Consider the following 18,838-nt stretch of genomic DNA (forward strand, 5'->3'; position numbering starts at 1 on the left):
TTTATTTAGAATTCCATGTTCATGATCTATGAGTAGCATAGTCAGCATTTACTTTAAAATAGCTGGTATTATCAGATGCATCATTGCTTGCTTTGAGCTATTTCTCTTTTAACTTATGGCAGGTGTTTATTCCTATTTTCAGAGATTAAAAAATGTGGTCAATGTCTATTTTATTTGCGCTCTACTAGGCTACCTTTTTCTGCATCACTGACATTTAGGTTAGGCATTAGCAATTTGTTCAGTCTTCCTTTTTTTTTTTTGCACTGAGTAGCTCACAAATTATAACAATGTCCCTTTCTAGGCTTTTATGATGGAACTGACTGCACACCAGAGCAGTGTGGGCAGCGTCCTGCAGGCAGGCAACCAACTGATAACACAAGGAACTCTGTCAGACGAAGAAGAATTTGAGATTCAGGAACAGATGACCCTGCTGAATGCTAGATGGGAGGCTCTTAGGGTGGAGAGTATGGACAGACAGTCCCGGTGAGTGGAAAGCCAAGAAATGCACTTAATTCCACAGGCTGCTTTGCACAGTTGAGCTCTAGTAGATGTCTGCATGTCTGTGAAAGCGAGATGATTACAGAACTTGCCTTGGAAAAGTAAGACTCTTTTCTACGGGTAATATTGCTGGAATTCTGCATGATCTTTGTTTCCCCTTTGATGTGTTAGCCACACCAAAAGATAAAAGTTGGAATACAGAATTTAACAAAAAGGAAAAAGAGGATAGGCATGGTGGCTCATGCCTGTAATCCCAGCACTTGGGAGGCCAACGCGGATGGATCACTTGAGGCCAGGAGTTTGAGACCAGCCTGGGCGACATGGCGAAACTCCGTCTCTACTAAAAATACAAAAATTAGCTGGGCATGGTGGGCCATGCCTGTAATCCTAGCTACTTGGGAGGTTGAGGTATGAGGATCGCTTGAACTCAGGAGACAGAGATTGCAGTGAGCTGAGATTCAGCCACTGCACTCCAGCCTGGGTAACAAAGTGAGACTGTCTCCAAAAAAAGGAAAAGACATTTCATAGGGGCAGTTACTTATTTGCAATGTTAAGATTAGCTAAACATTAACTTGGTGTGAAGACAGGACTATGGAGTATTGATCTACTTTTCCATTTTGTGACTTTTATTTTAAAGCTTTCTCATGGTTTATTTTATTTCATGTATTGTGTCTTAAGGAGCAAACTGCATTCATTGCCACTTCCACCTATTTAATAAGCAGGAATTCCTGATTGAAGAAACAATGATTCTGATATGAATACAGGGTGCTGCTTTTTGCATTCTTTGTCTGCATTTAATGAACTCCATTTAGGACAAAATAAAAGTTTACTTTCCTGGCTTCTATATTTAAAGACTAAATGCTACCTTGAATGTTTAGACAAGGGTGTCTTCCCTTGCCCTGTATCTCCGGTGCCCAGAATGTATATTTGACTTTGCAAAGGGAAAAGGCTTGTAGGAATAATGCTGTGTTCCCCACGGACAGGCTGCACGATGTGCTGATGGAACTGCAGAAGAAGCAACTGCAGCAGCTCTCCGCCTGGTTAACACTCACAGAGGAGCGCATTCAGAAGATGGAAACTTGCCCCCTGGATGATGATGTAAAATCTCTACAAAAGCTGCTAGAAGAACATAAAGTAAATCTGTCTCATATTTCTTCGATACCTTATCAAATATGAAAGAGCAGCACTTAGCATCTCAGAGGCTGATGACATCTATCGTTAACATGAAGTTGGGACACTTCTTCAGGGTTGTCTTCATTTAGCAGCTCACAGGGTGGAATTGATAGAGATGAGACTTTTCTGAGCCAGGGATAAAAGGGCACGGTAAAATTTTATATGTGATGTGCAGTTTTCTTTTGAAAGTACATAGCTTTCATACAACTGGAGAAGGGTTCTTTTGGCCCTCTAAGTGGCTAAGAACCCAAGCATGTTGGCGTTCACATGGTGTGTGGGTGAAGAGCAAATTCTTCGTCTATGATTCAGGAAAGCGTCAGGCATTAAGTTAGGAACCAAAATTGGGTGGGCAATTTAATTTGGTCACAAGTCTAGGAGATAAACTTTTCATAGTCAAGATAAGGAAAGATAGAATAAAATATGCTCTCTGTAAATTGAAGACTTTTATTGATCAGTGAAACATTGAGGTAACTAATATGTAAAACTTTAGGAATACATTAAACACAACTCTGAGAAGCATTTGAGAACACTATTGATAGTATTTAAATAAATTTTCTTTCTTTCTTTCTTTTTTTTGAGATGGAGTCTTGCTCTGTCACCCAGGCTGGAGGGCAATGGCAAAATCTCAGCTCACTGCACCCTCTGCCTCCTGGGTTCAAGTGATTCTCCCACCTCAGTCTCCCAAGTAGCTGGGACTACAGGCGTGTGCCACCACACCCAGCTAATTTTTTGTATTTTTTGTATTTTTAGTAAAGTCAGGGTTTCACCATGTTGGCCAGGCTGGTCTTGAACTCCTGACCTCAAGTGATCCGCCTGCCTTGGGTTCCCAAAGTGCTGGGATTACAGGTGTGAGCCACCATGCCCAGCCTATAAATTTTCTATACACATGTATCCAATGACTATGCTCTTCCCATGGAAAAGGCGAGAGAATCTAAGGTGTCCATACTTCTTTAACTGCTTTATTGGGTAGCTAATCAGAGTAACTTTTGACTATCGTGTAGCATTCTACTTATCTCTTTATACTGTCCTACACTAGATAAAATGATCTCTGACTTGGTTTATTTAAGCTCTGGACTTTTTTGCTTTACCACTTCTACATTTTTGTATTAATTCCTAGTATGGACACTCAACTCCTTTATGCTATAAATTCTGAGGGAGGGCCAGAACTTGAATAAAAGTGGTGATATCTCCATTTGCAGTCTGTTATAACACTGCATCCTCAAACTGCCTTTGTTGATAATGGAATGTAAAGATGTATAATAGGATTAGTTTCATTAGTAGAACAGTTAGGGTAATGATTGGAAATTTAAATATGATGCCTCATTAACTGTCCTTAATTACTATTGACAACTGAGTGCGTTTTAAATAGGTAAATGTGAAAGTAGAAATAATGGTTTATCTTAATTTTTTTCTCTAGAGTTTGCAAAGTGATCTTGAGGCTGAACAGGTGAAAGTAAATTCACTAACTCACATGGTGGTCATTGTTGATGAAAACAGTGGTGAGAGTGCTACAGCTATCCTAGAAGACCAGTTACAGGTAAGAGTGCTGTAAAGTTGGATAATCCTGAGGGACCTGTGGTCTGAGACCCAATTACATATTGCCCTTGTTCTTCATGTCCTTTCTCATTCTTTATCCAGAAGGGTAGAAAAACCTACCTTTGATTGTACTTCTCAGTTGGGGTTCTACAGTGTGTGGGCTACAGGAGTACCCAGGTATTGATTCCTTTACTTCAGCTCTTGGGGTGAATGGATGGGGCTGGTTGCAGTCCCCAGCTTCCTTGTGCATAATGACAAGATTTGGAAGCACAGTGTATTAGTCCGTTTTCACACTGCTGATAAAGACATACCTGAGACTGGGAAGAAAAAGAGGTTTAAGGGACTTACAGTTCCATGTGGCTGGGGAGACCTCACAATCATGGTGGAAGGGAAGGAGGAGCAAGCCACATTTTATATGGATGGTGGCAGGCAAAGAGAGGGAGCTTGTGCAGGGAAACTCCTTTTTTTAAAACCATCAGACCTCGTGAGACTTACTCACTATCACAAGAACAGCAAGAGAGAGACCTGCGCCCATGAATCAATTACCTCCCACTGGGTTCCTCACTTAAAATGTGGGAATTGTGGGAGTTACAATTCAAGATGAGACTTGGATGGGGACACAAGCAAACCATATCATTCCACCCCTGGCCTCTCCCAAATCTTATGTCCTCACATTTCACAACCAATCATGCTTTCCCAACAGTACCCCCAAAGTCTTAACTCATTTCAGCATTAACTCAAAAGTCCACAGTCCAAAGTCTCATCTGAGACAAGGCAAGTCCCTTCCGCCTATGAGCCTGCAAAGTCAAAAGCAAGTTAGTTACTTCCTAGCTACAATGGGGGCACAGGCAAAGAGTAAATACATCTGTTCCAAATGGGAGAAACTGGCCAAAACAAAAGGGCTACAGTCCCCATTCAAGTATGGAATACGGTGGGGTAGTCAAATCTTAAAGCTTCAAAATGATCTCCTTTGACTTCATGTTTCACATCCAGGTCACGCCTATGCAAGAGGTAGGTTCCCATGGTCTTGGGCAGTGCTGCCTCTGTGGCTTTGCGGGAAATAGCCCCCTCCTGGCTGCTTTCATGGGTCAGTGTTGAGTGTCTGCGGCTTTTCCAGGTGCATAGTGCAAGCTGTCAGTGGATCTACCACCCTGGGGTCTGGAGGACAGTGGCCGTCTTCTCACAGCTCCACTAGGTGGTGCCACAGTAGGGACTCTGTTTGGGCCACATTTCCCTTCTGCACTGCCCTAGCAGAGGTTCTCCATGAGAGCCCCACCTCTGCAGCAAACTTCTGCCTGGACATCCACGTGTTTCCATACATCCTCTGAAATCTAGGTGGATGTTCCCAAACCTCAATTCTTGACTTCTGTGTACCCGCAGGCTCAACACCACATGGAAGCTGCCAAGGCTTGTGGCTTGCACCTTTGCCATGGCCTGAGCTGTACCTTTGCCCCTTTTAGTCATGGCTGGAGCAGCTGGGATGCAGGGCACCAAGTACCTAGCCACAAGGCACGGGGACCCTGAGCCCAGCCCACAAAACCATTTTTTCCTCCTAGGCCTCTGGGCTTGTGATGGGAGGGGCTGATGTGAAGACCTCTGACATGCCTGGAGATGTTTTCCGCATTGTCTTGGTGATTAACTTTTGCCTCTTTGTTACTTATGCAAATTTCTGCAGCCAGCTTGAATTTCTCCTCAGAAAATGAGATTTTCTTTTCTATTGCATTGTCAGGCTGCAAATTTCTCAAACTTTTATGATCTGTTTCCTTTATAAAACTGAATGCCTTTAACAGCACCCAAGTCATCTCCTGAATGCTTTGCTGCTTAGAAATTTCTTCCACAGGTACCCTAAATTTTCCCACATTTTTCTGTCTTCTTCTGAGCTCTCCAAATGTTTCCAACCTCTGCCTGTTACCGAGTTCCAAAGTCACTTCTACATTTTAGGGTATCTTTTCAACAGCACCCCACTCTACTGGTACCGATTTACTATATTAGTCCATTTTCATGCTGCTGATAAAAACATACCTGAGACTGGGAAGAAAAAGAGGTTTAATGGACTTACAGTTCCACATCGTTGGGGAGGCCTCACAATCATGGCAGAAGGGAAGGAGGAGCAAGTCACGATTTACATGCATGGTGGCAGGCAAAGAGAGAGAGCTTGTGCAGGGAAACTCCCTTTTGTAAAACCATCAGATCTCGTGAGACTTATTCACTATAATGAGAACAGCATGGGAAAGATCTGCCCCCATGCTTCAATTACCTCCCACCAAGTTCCTCTCAAAAAATGTGAGAACTGTGGTAGTTATAATGCAAGATGAGATTTGGATGGAGACACAGGCAAACCATATCACACAGGAGCTGATCTTATTAAGTGATCCACTGACTTCTTCTCAGAAGCACTTGAGGAGCTTGTTAAAATGTAGATTCCTAGGCTCTACCCACTACCTAAATCTAGGTGAGGGAGGGATGCAGTGAATTTGCAATGTAAGAAAAATCATGTGCATAGTAAAGTTTGAGAATTTCACCTAGTAGGATTCAATATCTCAGTGTTTTCGGTAGATTAATATGTGAATTTCAACAACAGTTTTGGAAACCTCCCAAAATTGCTTCTTTTTGCACAAAGGCAATAGTGTATCTTTACAAGTCTTTAACAGATAAATTTATTGGTATTTCATTTGAACAATACTTGGATTTTCTGGTAAGACGTTGCCAATTTATTTAAATATGATGCCTCATTAAGTGAGGCAATCCAAACTGTAATTTCATCACGTGAGGTCCTTTTGCTTTTGTGATATTTAAAGTCAGCCAGAGGTTCTAAGACTTGTATGCAGTAGTTAGTTATTATAACCTGAGAGCTAAGTATTCATGCCTTGACTATTTAGCAGTAAGGAATCTGAGATTCAGAGAGGTTAAGTAGTCCTCCTGAGATTTAAATAGACAATGAGTTATCATGCTGAGACTGGAAATCTATCTTCTGGCTCTTAAGTTTTCTCCCCCTTTGTACTATGAAAAGCTTATTCTCATATTAAGTATCAAAATAGTATAATATGAATTAAATAATTCTTGTTCACATGTATATAGTACAAAAATAAATTTTAACATTTGTTAATCATTATTTGTAAAATTGTAATAAAATGATTTTGGGAGAAAATAATCATGAAGAGTGATTTTTTATAATTAATAAAATTTATTTAGTATTGCTGATACTAGTAAGATTCTATTGCTAATTTATGTAACTTATGGGGAATTTTTTTATGGATCACATAATGTAAACAGAACAAATCATTTGATTTTTTTATTGTCTCATAAAAATTCTCTTATTCAAAACAGGTTTTATAAGTTAAACATTTTTCATAATTTTGGTACCACAGATGAAAATTTTCTTGGCATGTAAAAGAGAGTTAAGGAATATAACAGACATGCTGGTTTTTTTAGCTAAAAATTTGAAAAATTTGAAGCACAAAAAGTAGATATGTTTGTTTTATTTTTTAATAATATGTAAAAATGTCATATTCTCATAAAAACCACAATGAAATAGAAAGAGCAGGTTTGGAGTCAAAGATTCAGAGGATACAGTTCTATTATGTTAGTTTCTAGCTATGTGAAATCATTTGTTCAATTCTATGGAAATTAGTTTTTCTGATTCATACATTTCTAGGCCTAGTCTGTTATTTTAAAGCAATTTTTATAAAAATACTTTTTATAAGTTGTTATTCTATAATAAAGAACAATGGAAATCATGAATTTCTTCAAGGATTGTGATAACTCTCTCTTAAGGCTGTGTTGACAAAGGATGGTTTCTCCTTTTTCTAGAAACTTGGTGAGCGCTGGACAGCAGTATGCCGTTGGACTGAAGAACGCTGGAATAGGTTACAAGAAATCAATATATTGTGGCAGGAATTATTGGAAGAACAGGTATGAAACTGTTTTCCATAAGGGGCAAAATAAATGGTGAAAAGTAACCCATCTTTTATTGTGACTTTAGAATAAAGTTGCCTTGTTTACTTTTCTTTGAAAGGAAAATATATAAATAATTATTTTAAAGATCAAATTTCTATCCAGTTTATAACTGATCATGAAGCTTATTCACAGAGATTGTGTCATTTGGCTCCATTAATTTGACCTGTTTTCATTACTTGGAATGTTAGTACTTAGAAGATATGCTATTTTCATGATTTGTTTGACATCATAGTTATTAGTGGATTTGTGTTGGGTGATGTATTTGAATTTGTATCAACACAATGCCTAGCATATAATTTGTGCTCAGTAAATAATGAGTAATGAATCCACTCAACACACTGTGAACTTTAATTCCCTAGATTTTTTCTTGATTTTTAACAAGTATTGAAATTAATGAGAAAATATTATTTAGTCACACCTTTGATTTAACACTGGATTAATTGCATATTTTTTCCACTAAGTGTTATCACAGCAAATGAATCTGTTGTACAAAGCTGCCACCTTAATTTTTCAATAGGACTGGTGGCTCTTTGCCTGTTCTCTGTCTTTCCAGAAAAGCAACCATTGAAACAAAATACAAATAAACAAAACTTTTCTCCCCAAATGCCAAACAGTTGTGGTTTAAAAAATAAGTAGATACTGGCCGGGCAGGGTGGCTCACGCCTGTAATCCCAGCACTTTGGGAGGCTGAGGCAGGTGGATCACTTGAAGTCAGGAGTTCAAGACTAGCCCGGCCAACATAGTGAAACCCCGTCTCCACTAAAAATATAAAAATAAGCCAGGTGTGGCGGTGGGTGCCTGTAATCCCAGCTACTCAGGAGGCTGAGGCAGGAGAATTGCTGGAACCCAGGAGGCAGAGGTTGCAGTGAGCCGAGACTGTGCCACTGCACTCCAGCCTGGGAGACAAGAGCGAGACTCCCTCTCAAAAAAAAAAAAAAAAAAGCAAATACTCTATTCCCACATCTCTCAGTGTCCATTTTGATTCTTTTAAATGCATTTCATTTCCATCTATAAGAAGCAACTATATTCTCTTCAGGGGAAAAAACTCAAGTGTGTGATGTTTTGTGGCTTACTAAATATGGTGGCAGATAGTTGCAGAATTTGTCCAAATATAAATTGTTAATGACTACTTCCCCCCCCGCCCTCAATCTGTGGTCAGATTTTTCTTATTAGGAATCACAAAAGGGACCTGATTCTGATTTATGAAATGTTTACATTTCATGTTACAAATATTTACATTTCACTTTATAAATATTTATGTTTATTGTGAACCTTGTATTTAGGCCAAAAAGTCTCAGAATAGTTAAAATTTTACTTCAATAATGACAGTAGAAAGGCTGGGCGCGGTGGATCACGCTTGTAATCCCAGCACTTTGGGAGGCCGAGGCGGGCAGATCACTTGAGGTCAGACCAACATGTTGAAACCTGTCTCTACTAAAAATGCAAAAAATTAGCCAGGCCTGCAGTGGGCACCTGTAATCCCAGCCACTCAGGAGGCTATGGAGGCAGGAGAATTGCTTGAACCCAGGAAGCAGAGGTTGCAGTGATCCGAGATGGCACCACTGCACTCCAGTCTGGGTGACAGAGTGAGACTCTGTCTCAAAAAATAAAAATAATAGTAATAGTAATAATTGCAGTAGAAGACATCGATTGCTAGAGAAAACCATTGTGTTACTCTTCTATCCAGTAAAGTAATTGCAAATTTGGAAATAATTTTAATTTGATGATAAAAAACAGTTTAAAAATAGAGTGCTAGTATTTCAGTCACTTGTACCACTTTAGGTTTTAAACTGACCTTTCATCGTGTTCTATAATGATCTGACATTTTAACTATACCTTTTGTGTGTGTGTGTGTACTGTCTACATGTTCTGTCTGATGGCATCATTATTTATGTGCATATCTTACCAGCCTCACTAGACTGAGGACAGTATCCATTGGGGGGTGAAATATAGAGGCAAGGAATAGTTGTTAAATATTTAATTCATAAATAAAATTGCTGAGAAAGAATTGATTCCGTTGCAAATACAGAACCAAGTTGTTTTCCTCCCTACTAAATAGAAAAGGGTTTCCACCCTAAATGCTACATTTTGGGAGAAATTATCACAATGTAGCTACGGTTGTTTTCCATCCCTTCTTCAGGATTATCTCTCTACATGACTGAATATCCTCTGCTTAGAAAACACACATTGTTGTCCAATGAAGTTGAAAAATCTTTATATGGGCTTTGGGTGCTCTTCAGACTCCCTCCTTTAATCATAATTGCTGTTGAACCTTGAATGCTAGTGTGGATTTCCTACATGATGCCATGGAAAACACTGGTTTTGGGGTGTGGACCCTGGACCCAGCTCTGCCATTAACTATCCAAGTGATCTGGGACATGTAACTTGACTTCTCTTTCCTTCCTTTCTAAAATGAGGGGCTGGGACAAGACAATCTCCGAGCTTACTTCTGCCTCTAGGAAGTTGTAATGTAATTCCTTTGGAGACTTGCATAGTTGGATTTTCCCTTTTCCCTCCACCTATCTCCTTGAGAATTAGGTTTAGTTCCCTAGGTATGAGGCTAATGTCTGATTGTTCTGTTACAAATCTGAGAAGGATAATATTTTAAAGAAAGGTATCTTTCTGGGTCATTTGTGCCTCAGACTTAGGTGTTTGAAGGCCTTCTTATCCCCATGTAAGGGTGAAGCCTCTAATAAAATAAAAGTTAGAAATTTGGATGCATGATTTAATTGAATTACCAAATGATTTTGCAGATAAAGTTCAACTTTTGTTATTACTTGTAGTGCTTGTTGAAAGCTTGGTTAACCGAAAAAGAAGAGGCTTTAAATAAAGTCCAGACAAGCAACTTCAAAGACCAAAAGGAACTAAGTGTCAGTGTTCGACGTCTGGCTGTAAGTGATGGGGTTGTCAGCATCTGTGTTGTAAGCCTATGATATCTTAATGTTTTATAGCTAATGGTTAGTAGAATTTAGTGAATGCAGATTACAGCTCATTACCTAGCATTAGACTGCTGCCCTGTAACAATCTGGAACCACGAGTCTTACCTTTTAGCATAGTGAACTGCAAAGCATGTACATTTTACTATAAAAGATACATGTTTAAAATTTTTGGCTGGGGAACAGAAAGACAAAGTCCTGTTAAAAAGAGTCATCTAATAAATATCTGAAATACTAGATTTTGAAGGAAGACATGGAAATGAAGCGTCAAACATTGGATCAGCTGAGTGAGATTGGCCAGGATGTGGGACAATTACTTGATAATTCCAAGGCATCTAAGAAGATCAACAGTGACTCAGAGGAACTGACTCAAAGATGGGATTCTTTGGTTCAGAGACTAGAAGATTCCTCCAACCAGGTACTTTTTGATTTGGATCATATGTTGTGCCATGAAGTAAACATTTAAAATTTAAATGTTCAGGTTAGTTTTAATTTGTATGAAATAAACTAAAAAGTTGTTTCCTTACACCTGATGAAAAATTGACATGTGAAAATCACCTTCAGTTTTCTAAAGTAAGTTTTAATAGATTATCTTAATATCCTATAATTTAATTTATAGTAACTGATTATACTTAGCCAATAAATAATCTTAACATCTTAAATCTTAAGTAATCTTATTAATCTTAAAAATATTTTAATGAATTAGTCAAACATAAAACATTGGTTTGTAGACAGATATTCTTAGCAGCATTATTTATAATAGCCAAAAAGTGGAACAACTCAAATATCCATACACAGATGAATGGATAAACAAAATGTGGTGTATGCATACAATATTATCTGATAATACAAAAGAACGAAGTATTGACACATGCTACAACATAGATGAACCTTGAAAACACTATGCTAAGTATAAGAAGCCAATCGCAAGATTATATACGCTATGATTCCATTCATAGGAAATGTCCACAAGGGGAAAATCCACAGAGATAGAAAGTAAATGCATGGTTGCCACTGGTGGGAGTGGGGAATGGGGAGTGTTGGTTTATGGCTATGGGATTTCTTTTTGGGGTGATAAAATGTTCTGGAGACAGACTGTGAGGATGATTATACAACTGTATAAATGTGCTAATAACCATTAAATTGTGTATTTCAAAGAAAGAATTTTATAGCATGTGAATTACATCTCAATGAAGCTGTTATAAACATTGAAATTTTGGATGGCTTTTATTTCAGGTGACTCAGGCTGTAGCAAAGCTGGGGATGTCTCAGATTCCTCAGAAGGACCTTTTGGAGACTGTTCGTGTAAGAGAACAAGCAATTACAAAAAAATCTAAGCAGGAACTGCCTCCTCCTCCTCCCCCAAAGAAGAGACAGATCCATGTGGATATTGAAGCTAAGAAAAAGTGAGAAGAGATAGAGAAATTGTTCAAATCCAATATTGCACATACTATATTTTCTACTTGGTGCCTATTTTGTACTAATCATTAATCATAGGCAAATCTAGACATAATAAGTATTATTATTATGAAAAGTCAACTACTGAACCACTCACTGCCCCTGTCTTCTGAATATTCTACTTGGCACTAGCTAAGCATCCAAATTTTCTTGGATGATTTTATTTATCCTGTGTTCAATTGGGAGAACTTTGTGATCGAAGCTTTCTTTCTTCCTTTCCCATTATTCTCCTTGGAAGGATATGATTGTCCATGACTGTCTTTTTATTCTTTCTTTCACTGTCACAACTCGACAGTGACCTCCTCAGTCTTTGAATATAGCTTCCCCAGTTTTTATTGTCAGAAAGTGCAGGGGATCCTTAACCATTCCTATTAACATGGTTTCCAGACCCTTTTATATCTTCTGTCTGCTCTAGAAACCACTATTGGTTTGCCTTAAAATGGACTACCCCAATAATCGAGGGCCTTAAATGACTGCTTAATGCAGTGCCTAGTTTAAAATATATGCTTAAAAAATGGCAGCTCATTTCCACTTCTCTTCCCCTGGTGCTGCTGTGGTGGTGGTTTTTACCAGCTCGCGGTACAGTGGACAGTCATTTCCTAGAATGTAGACACCTGTTCCTGTGACCTGCGATCATTGCATCACTCTTGCCCATATTGAGAGCAGATGCTGACTGAGTCTCCAAGGTCATTGGAAACGTGCGATTTTTAGATGGCCGTCTCTTCTCTGAAATATTAAATAGAAAGCTGCTGTTAAGATGACAGGAGGAACATATCCCTGTTTGAGCAATACCTTGACCCCAGATATTTATCTAGAGCATCACAAAATCCCTCACATTTTACAGGGAAAATCTACCTTGATGAAAAGATAAAATATTCATAGTTCACCAGAAACACTTTAAGCAAAGTTTCTCACAAGAATCAGCAATAACGACTTGTGCCACTGCTTAATGTATCGAGAAGCTCTGTGGGGAGGGTACTAGTTAAGAAGACAGTCTTGGTTTGAATCCCAGCCTCACCCTTTGTTAGCTTTGTGACATGGGACAGTTACTGAAAACCTCTGTGAGCTCAGTACCTTCATCTCTAAAGGGGATAATAATAGTGTATACTTTTTAGGGTGCTGGTGAGGATTCCTTGAGTTAATAATAGACATAAAACACTTAGAAAGGGGCCGGGTAGAAGGCCAGCAATCAGTGATCGTGACTCCTCTTGTTCCTCCTTGCTGTGGTTTTGACCAACCTTCTCAACACCTCTCAAACCTGTCCTTTCGTCTTCCTTCCCACTGTTACTATCTTAGTTGTGACTCCCGTTGCTTTCACAGCCTGTTCTCGACTCGTCTCTCTTTAATGCCTTCTCCTCAGTGAACACTAAAGGATAAATAGAATCATGTCAGTTCCATGCATAGAACTCTCCCTTGGCTCTCAACTGCCTTTGGGTTAAGTCCAAACTCCTTAATATGTCCTGCAGGGCCTTCTTGTAGCTGGTCCATGTGATTCTTGGCCACATCGTCAATTGTCCCTCCCTTGTGAGTTCAGTACTCATTATTCCAGACACGCCTAACTAATACTTGCAGTTTGCAAAATGTGATCTTCCCTTTCTCTGCTTTCCCTTGGCAAGGGAAACTCCTCAGTGTAATGCTGTTGTTCTCCTTTAGGAAGCCATCCATGCCCCAATTGGATTAGAAGCCACTCCTGTGAATTCCTGGAATTAGCACCTAGCAAATTCTTTTGTTATTGCCTGTTACTTTCCATTGCTTACTAGACTAGAAGCTCCTTGGGAGCTGAGATTTGTATCTGGTTCACTTTCATATCAAGAGCCCAGCCCAGTGCCTGACATTTAGTAAGGCTCAATCATTACATATTGAACAAAAGAAGATGTTAACTTTAGTAATGTCTGTACTTGTTCTTTGCTGATTATCTAACCAACTCTGGTTTTTATTATCTATAAGCATTTATAAAAATACAAGTGATTCCTTATAAAGGTGAAAATTGTTTTAATATGTAAAGTTTTAAAAATTTTTATTTAAGGCCAGGCATGGTGGGTCATGACTGTAATCACAGCACTTTGGGAGGCCAAGGCGGGCCGATCATGAGGTCAGCCTGGCCAACATGGTGAAACTCTGTCTCTACTAAAAATACAAAAATTAGCTGGGTGTGGTGGTGGGCACCTATAATCCTAGCTACTCGGGAGGCTGAGGCAGGAGAATCCTTTGAATCTGGAGGCGGAGGTTGCAGTGAGCCGAGATCGTGCCATTGCACTCAAGCCTGGGTGACAGGGCGAGACTCCATCTCGAAACAACAACAACAACAACAAATTATTTAATTATTTTCTTCAATTGTTTATTAACCCTATAATATTATTACTCTTTTCATACTTTTAGTTGTAAATATATGATCTCATTTTGCATGGTTACCCTATTTCTGGGTTGCTGTTTTTGGGGGAGTGATAAAAAGACATATTCCTGATGAGCATTTGAGTTGCTCTTTCTGGAGTCAAGTAAAACAGTAGAAGGAAACATGACAAATGGTCACCTCTGAATCTTCAAACAGGTTTGATGCTATAAGTGCAGAGCTGTTGAACTGGATTTTGAAATGGAAAACTGCCATTCAGACCACAGAGATAAAAGAGTATATGAAGATGCAAGACACTTCCGAAATGAAAAAGAAGTTGAAGGTAAAAAACATAAACCACATATATCCTAGTGCATAAAATAGTTCATCATGCTGGATTTTCTGCTGGCATAAAGACATTATGGAATTCAAAAGCCTCCTGTAAAATAAATGTAGGCAGAAGGTAGCTTTTAGTACATTGTAGTGAATTTTGAATCCATTCATGCTAGCTGTCATCAGATCCCTATTTGGAGGACGTTTTTTTTTTTTCATCTTTGTCAGTCACTGAGATGTACAGTGAGGAATACTTCTTATGGTGATCCAGTTAGTGGTACTACTTTTTAGTTAGTTTAGATCACCCTTAATCTGGTATCTAATAATTTATGACTCTATATTAACATTATGCTGAAGATGTTTTGCCTTCGGAATACAACAAACTATTTTAAATCAAAAAGTGTATTCAATATATTTTCTTTAGAGTTGTAAAAAATAAATACAATTAAAAGGTGTGGGATCTTAGCCCTGCCGCTTTCCATGCTTATGTGTGTTTCTGAAGAGTGTGATGGGAACTTGCAGAGCTTTTTTGTCCTGGGTGCTCATACGTCTCCTACACATTACTGCATTAACTATTTGGGCACCTGGGTAGAGAATCTATAGTCTAGTCTCCTGCCATCTTAAGAGGTAGCAAAAAATCAACTTGTAAAAAGTAGATAATTGCCTTTTTCTCCAGTTCGATGGTGACTTTTACATTGATCTTTAGTTAGACAAAATAAACGGTGTTTCTTAGAGTCTCTTACTAATATTCCTTGATCTTTGACTATAAGAAGGTTGTTCTACCTAGTCACAGTAAACTTTGTGAAAATCAAAGTAGGATAGCTGAATTTATTTGATAGCACTTACATGTAAACAATTTAGAATTGGGATTCTTCTCTGGATTGTCTGGTTGAAGTAATATGGGTTGCTCAGAAGTTGTGATTGTGTTATGATGGATACTATTTGAATAGTATATAAATATGAATAATATATAAATATCAGTTGGGGATGGAGGAATGAGAGAAAATTCAAATACCGAGTTGTGTGCACATATAGTTGTGTTTTTGTGTGTATACATGATTTTACTTGCTTCATTCTTACTAGTTCTGGAAAGAATTTTGTCTTGGGAGTATCAAACTATAGAGATAAAAAAAATAATGAAATTAGGAGCCATTCCTCAACATAAAGAACAAAATGTGGGTTGGGCTTGCCATGGCTCACGCTTATAATTCCAGCACAAGGCAGGAGGATTGCTTGAGCCCAGGAGTTTGAGACCAGCCTGGGCACCATAGGGAGACCCCCGTCTCTACAAAAAGTAAAAAAAAAAAAAAATTTGTGGGGCGTGAGCTTGCACTTGTAACTCCAACTACTCGGGAGGCTGAGATAGGAGGATCCTTTGAGCCCAGGAGGTTGAGGCTGCAGTGAGCCATGATTGTGCCACTGCACCCCAGCCTGGGTGACAGAGTGACAACCTGCCTCAAAGAAAAAAAAAAAAAAAAGGAACAAAATGCTTTGGTTTGGGTTCTAAAGCATATTTACTATTTTCATTATTTAAAAATTATGTATGAAATATGATTGTGCTTGAAGTTTGCATTGAACCCTAGACTTAATATAACCCAAACAAATAATACTGAGCCTCAAAATATTTCTATCCATTTTTTCTGTTTTCTTTCTTTTGAGATGGGAGTTTTGCTCTGTTGCCCAGGCTGGAGTGCAGTGGTGCAATCTCGGCTCCCTGCAACCTCTGCCTCCCGGGTTCAAGCAATTCTCATGCCTAAGCCTCCTGAGCAGCTGGGATTATAGGCACACGCCACCACGCTTGGCTAATTTTTGTATTTTTAGTAGAGTTGGGGTTTCACCATGTTGGCCAGACTGGTCTCAAACTCCTGACCTCTAGTGATCCACCCCCCTCAGCCTTCCAAAGTGTTGGGATTACAGGTGTGAGCCACCATGCCCAGCCTATCCTTTTTTCTTGTTAGTTAATTTTTGTTCAACAACTTCTGTCATAACACATTCAATTCTTTTGACTCAAACCATTATTTTTATGGCATGGCGTACTCAGGGTATGTATGTGAATAGATATCCTGGATCTAAAACATAATTTTAATTATTTCCTTCTAATAGGAGCTTATAATTATGAGGTACATTTTTTTTCTTACAAAAGAAACCAATGCTTTTTAGTTGCTATGATTACGTTTGAATTTACCTTTTCAGATTTAAAAAGAATGTAGGAGGGCCATTCAACTTAAACATTTAAAACAGCAACATTATATTGAGAAGAAAGTTTGCAATATTCTTATGTTGGGACTTCATTTGCAGGCATTAGAAAAAGAACAGAGAGAAAGAATCCCCAGAGCAGATGAATTAAACCAAACTGGACAAATCCTTGTGGAGCAAATGGGAAAAGGTAAGATCCTTGATTTTTTTCCCCTATATTTTTCAGATGGTGGCATCGAATAATATTACAGTTTGCCCTATTAAATATTTTGCTTTAATACTCGAATCCTCTTTTGGCTAGATAAATGGTTTTCAAAAATGTTTTTAGGCAGCAGAATCTTTAAAAATGAAATTTTATTCTGAAGCTGATTGTAAAAAAGCAGATAAAAGCAAAGTTGTTCTGATTTTATATGGGGTCGGGGCTGGATACCCTGATTAGCAGAACAGTTAAAACCCACTAGCATAGTATATTTTAAAACTGTATCCTTTGGGTTTATATATTGGGAATTTGTTTGCAGGGTGGTAGCAAAAGAAAACTTTACTTGGCAACATTTGGGAAACGAAGTTACGTTAAATTCATTAAGGGTATTTGATTTTTGATAACTTTTAATGCATTATATTTATTTACTACAGTATTTTTATAGTTAAGTTTGATAAGGTGTTACTTATATATGAAATTTTTAAATGCTCCCAAGACTTTTTTTTTTGCTGTAGCTCCCAGTGACTCAGAATAAGCTAAAGATTAATATTCTTGATGTGCAGTTTTGCATATGAATCTCTCTTTGTTCTAGAGAAATGTTGAAAGACATTTCTTGCACTCCATGTACGTTGGTCTAATAATGGTAAGCACTTTGGAAGGCTGCTGTAGCTCTCCTTGACACCTGTACAGATACCTATACAGAATTAGGAATATTAGTTTGACAAGAATCTTAAAAGCAGTAGCATTTAATTTTTTATTGTTTGACTTTTTGTTATGGAAAATATAACTGTATAAAAGCAAATAGAATACTATAATGAACTTCCTTGTATCAGTTACCTAGTTTAGTAATTGACAATATTCTGCCATTCTTGAATTATCTATACCTTTACTCGTTCCTCAGCCTCTCAATTATTACTATTTTTACAGTTTTCTTGGAAGTAAAATTTACTTACATTGAAATACATGACTTAGCTGTGCTGTTTTGACAAATAGATATACCTGTGTAACCTACACACACACATCACTGTAGAAAATTTCCATCTTTCCAGAAATTTCTCTTTTGGGTTAGTCACCTTCCTCCCTCCAGAAAACAACTGTTCATGTTGTTTTGACCTTAGATTATTTTGCCTCCAGCCTTTAACAAATATGTTTATTTATTTAGTATGTATACTGGATATGTGTATACACACACACACACAAACACACAGAAACATATATACACACACAAACATATATAGATATATACACATACACACAAAATATGGAATGTATACCATGTGGACAGTGTATGTCCATTTATTTTGAAATTATGCAAATGTATTATCAATCCATTTATTATTAATAAATGTTAATTTCTTTCTTTAAATAAATTAAATAGAATAGTATTTAATATTTTCTTTCAAAATCCATTCTAGCAGATTGTCTTAGTTGTCCTTCCTGTGGGCATCCCACTTGGAGGTTACTCTTTCCAGTATTTACTTGAAGAGATCCAGAGACACAAACAGATGATAACTTCCCTTGAGATTCATTCAATAATTATAATGCATTGGATGTTGAATTTATTTCCTTTACAAGCATAGATTTTTTACTTCTACCTCAGCATTGTACCTGGTGACTCTGACTTTATCTGATGTGAATATGGGATAATTTCTTGAATCTGTGTACTGAATTTACTCCCATTTCTGTCAGGTTTTCAGCAGTGTGGCAGAATTATGAAGATGGGGGAGACTTGATGTAGATGAGAAGTTGGTGCGAGGTGATGTTATAGTGAGAATAACAGTGATTGGGGGAATGGGCAAACTTGGATTCTCCTGTCCTTTTCTAGTTTCTTATCCTTGGGAAAGTCTTGGAACCCTTGTTTCTTTGCCTTGGTGTCTGGAAAATGAGGGAGTTTATTAGCTGACTCTTAGCTGTTAGTTTATCAGGTGACTATTAGTTTATTAGCTGACTATAGGCTTTGGTCCATAAAATTCTACCATAAATGGGTCCTAAATAGACACATTCTGGACATTGAGTTCACATGAAAGTGCTACTTGCAAAAGGCCAAAGGCAACACTGGAGAATAGTTGACATGGGGCTTTTGTCACCTAATGTATACTTGCCCAATTTCATAGGAAACCTTTTATAGTTTGTATTATCATGTTTTTTCAAGCATTGGTGGAATTAGAAATGCATTCATTAGAGGACCCTAATTCTTTTTTGTTTTAAAGATGCATCTATTAA

General features: G+C 38.0%; 1 protein-coding gene across 1 annotated transcript in view; it reads left to right on the forward strand.

Annotated features, from left to right (window-relative positions):
* The window catches only part of UTRN (utrophin), a 567,700-nt gene that overhangs the window by 151,929 nt on the left and 396,933 nt on the right, over positions 1 to 18,838 (forward strand). The window contains exons 11-19 of the mRNA NM_007124.3: positions 302 to 483; positions 1,482 to 1,632; positions 3,089 to 3,208; positions 7,018 to 7,119; positions 9,948 to 10,055; positions 10,339 to 10,518; positions 11,337 to 11,506; positions 14,107 to 14,230; positions 16,519 to 16,606. Coding sequence (NP_009055.2) covers positions 302 to 483; positions 1,482 to 1,632; positions 3,089 to 3,208; positions 7,018 to 7,119; positions 9,948 to 10,055; positions 10,339 to 10,518; positions 11,337 to 11,506; positions 14,107 to 14,230; positions 16,519 to 16,606 — 1,225 coding nt within the window. The remainder of the gene's footprint in view (positions 1 to 301; positions 484 to 1,481; positions 1,633 to 3,088; positions 3,209 to 7,017; positions 7,120 to 9,947; positions 10,056 to 10,338; positions 10,519 to 11,336; positions 11,507 to 14,106; positions 14,231 to 16,518; positions 16,607 to 18,838) is intronic.

The sequence above is a fragment of the Homo sapiens genome, chromosome 6, assembly GCF_000001405.40.
Source record: "Homo sapiens chromosome 6, GRCh38.p14 Primary Assembly".
NCBI lineage: Eukaryota > Metazoa > Chordata > Mammalia > Primates > Hominidae > Homo > Homo sapiens.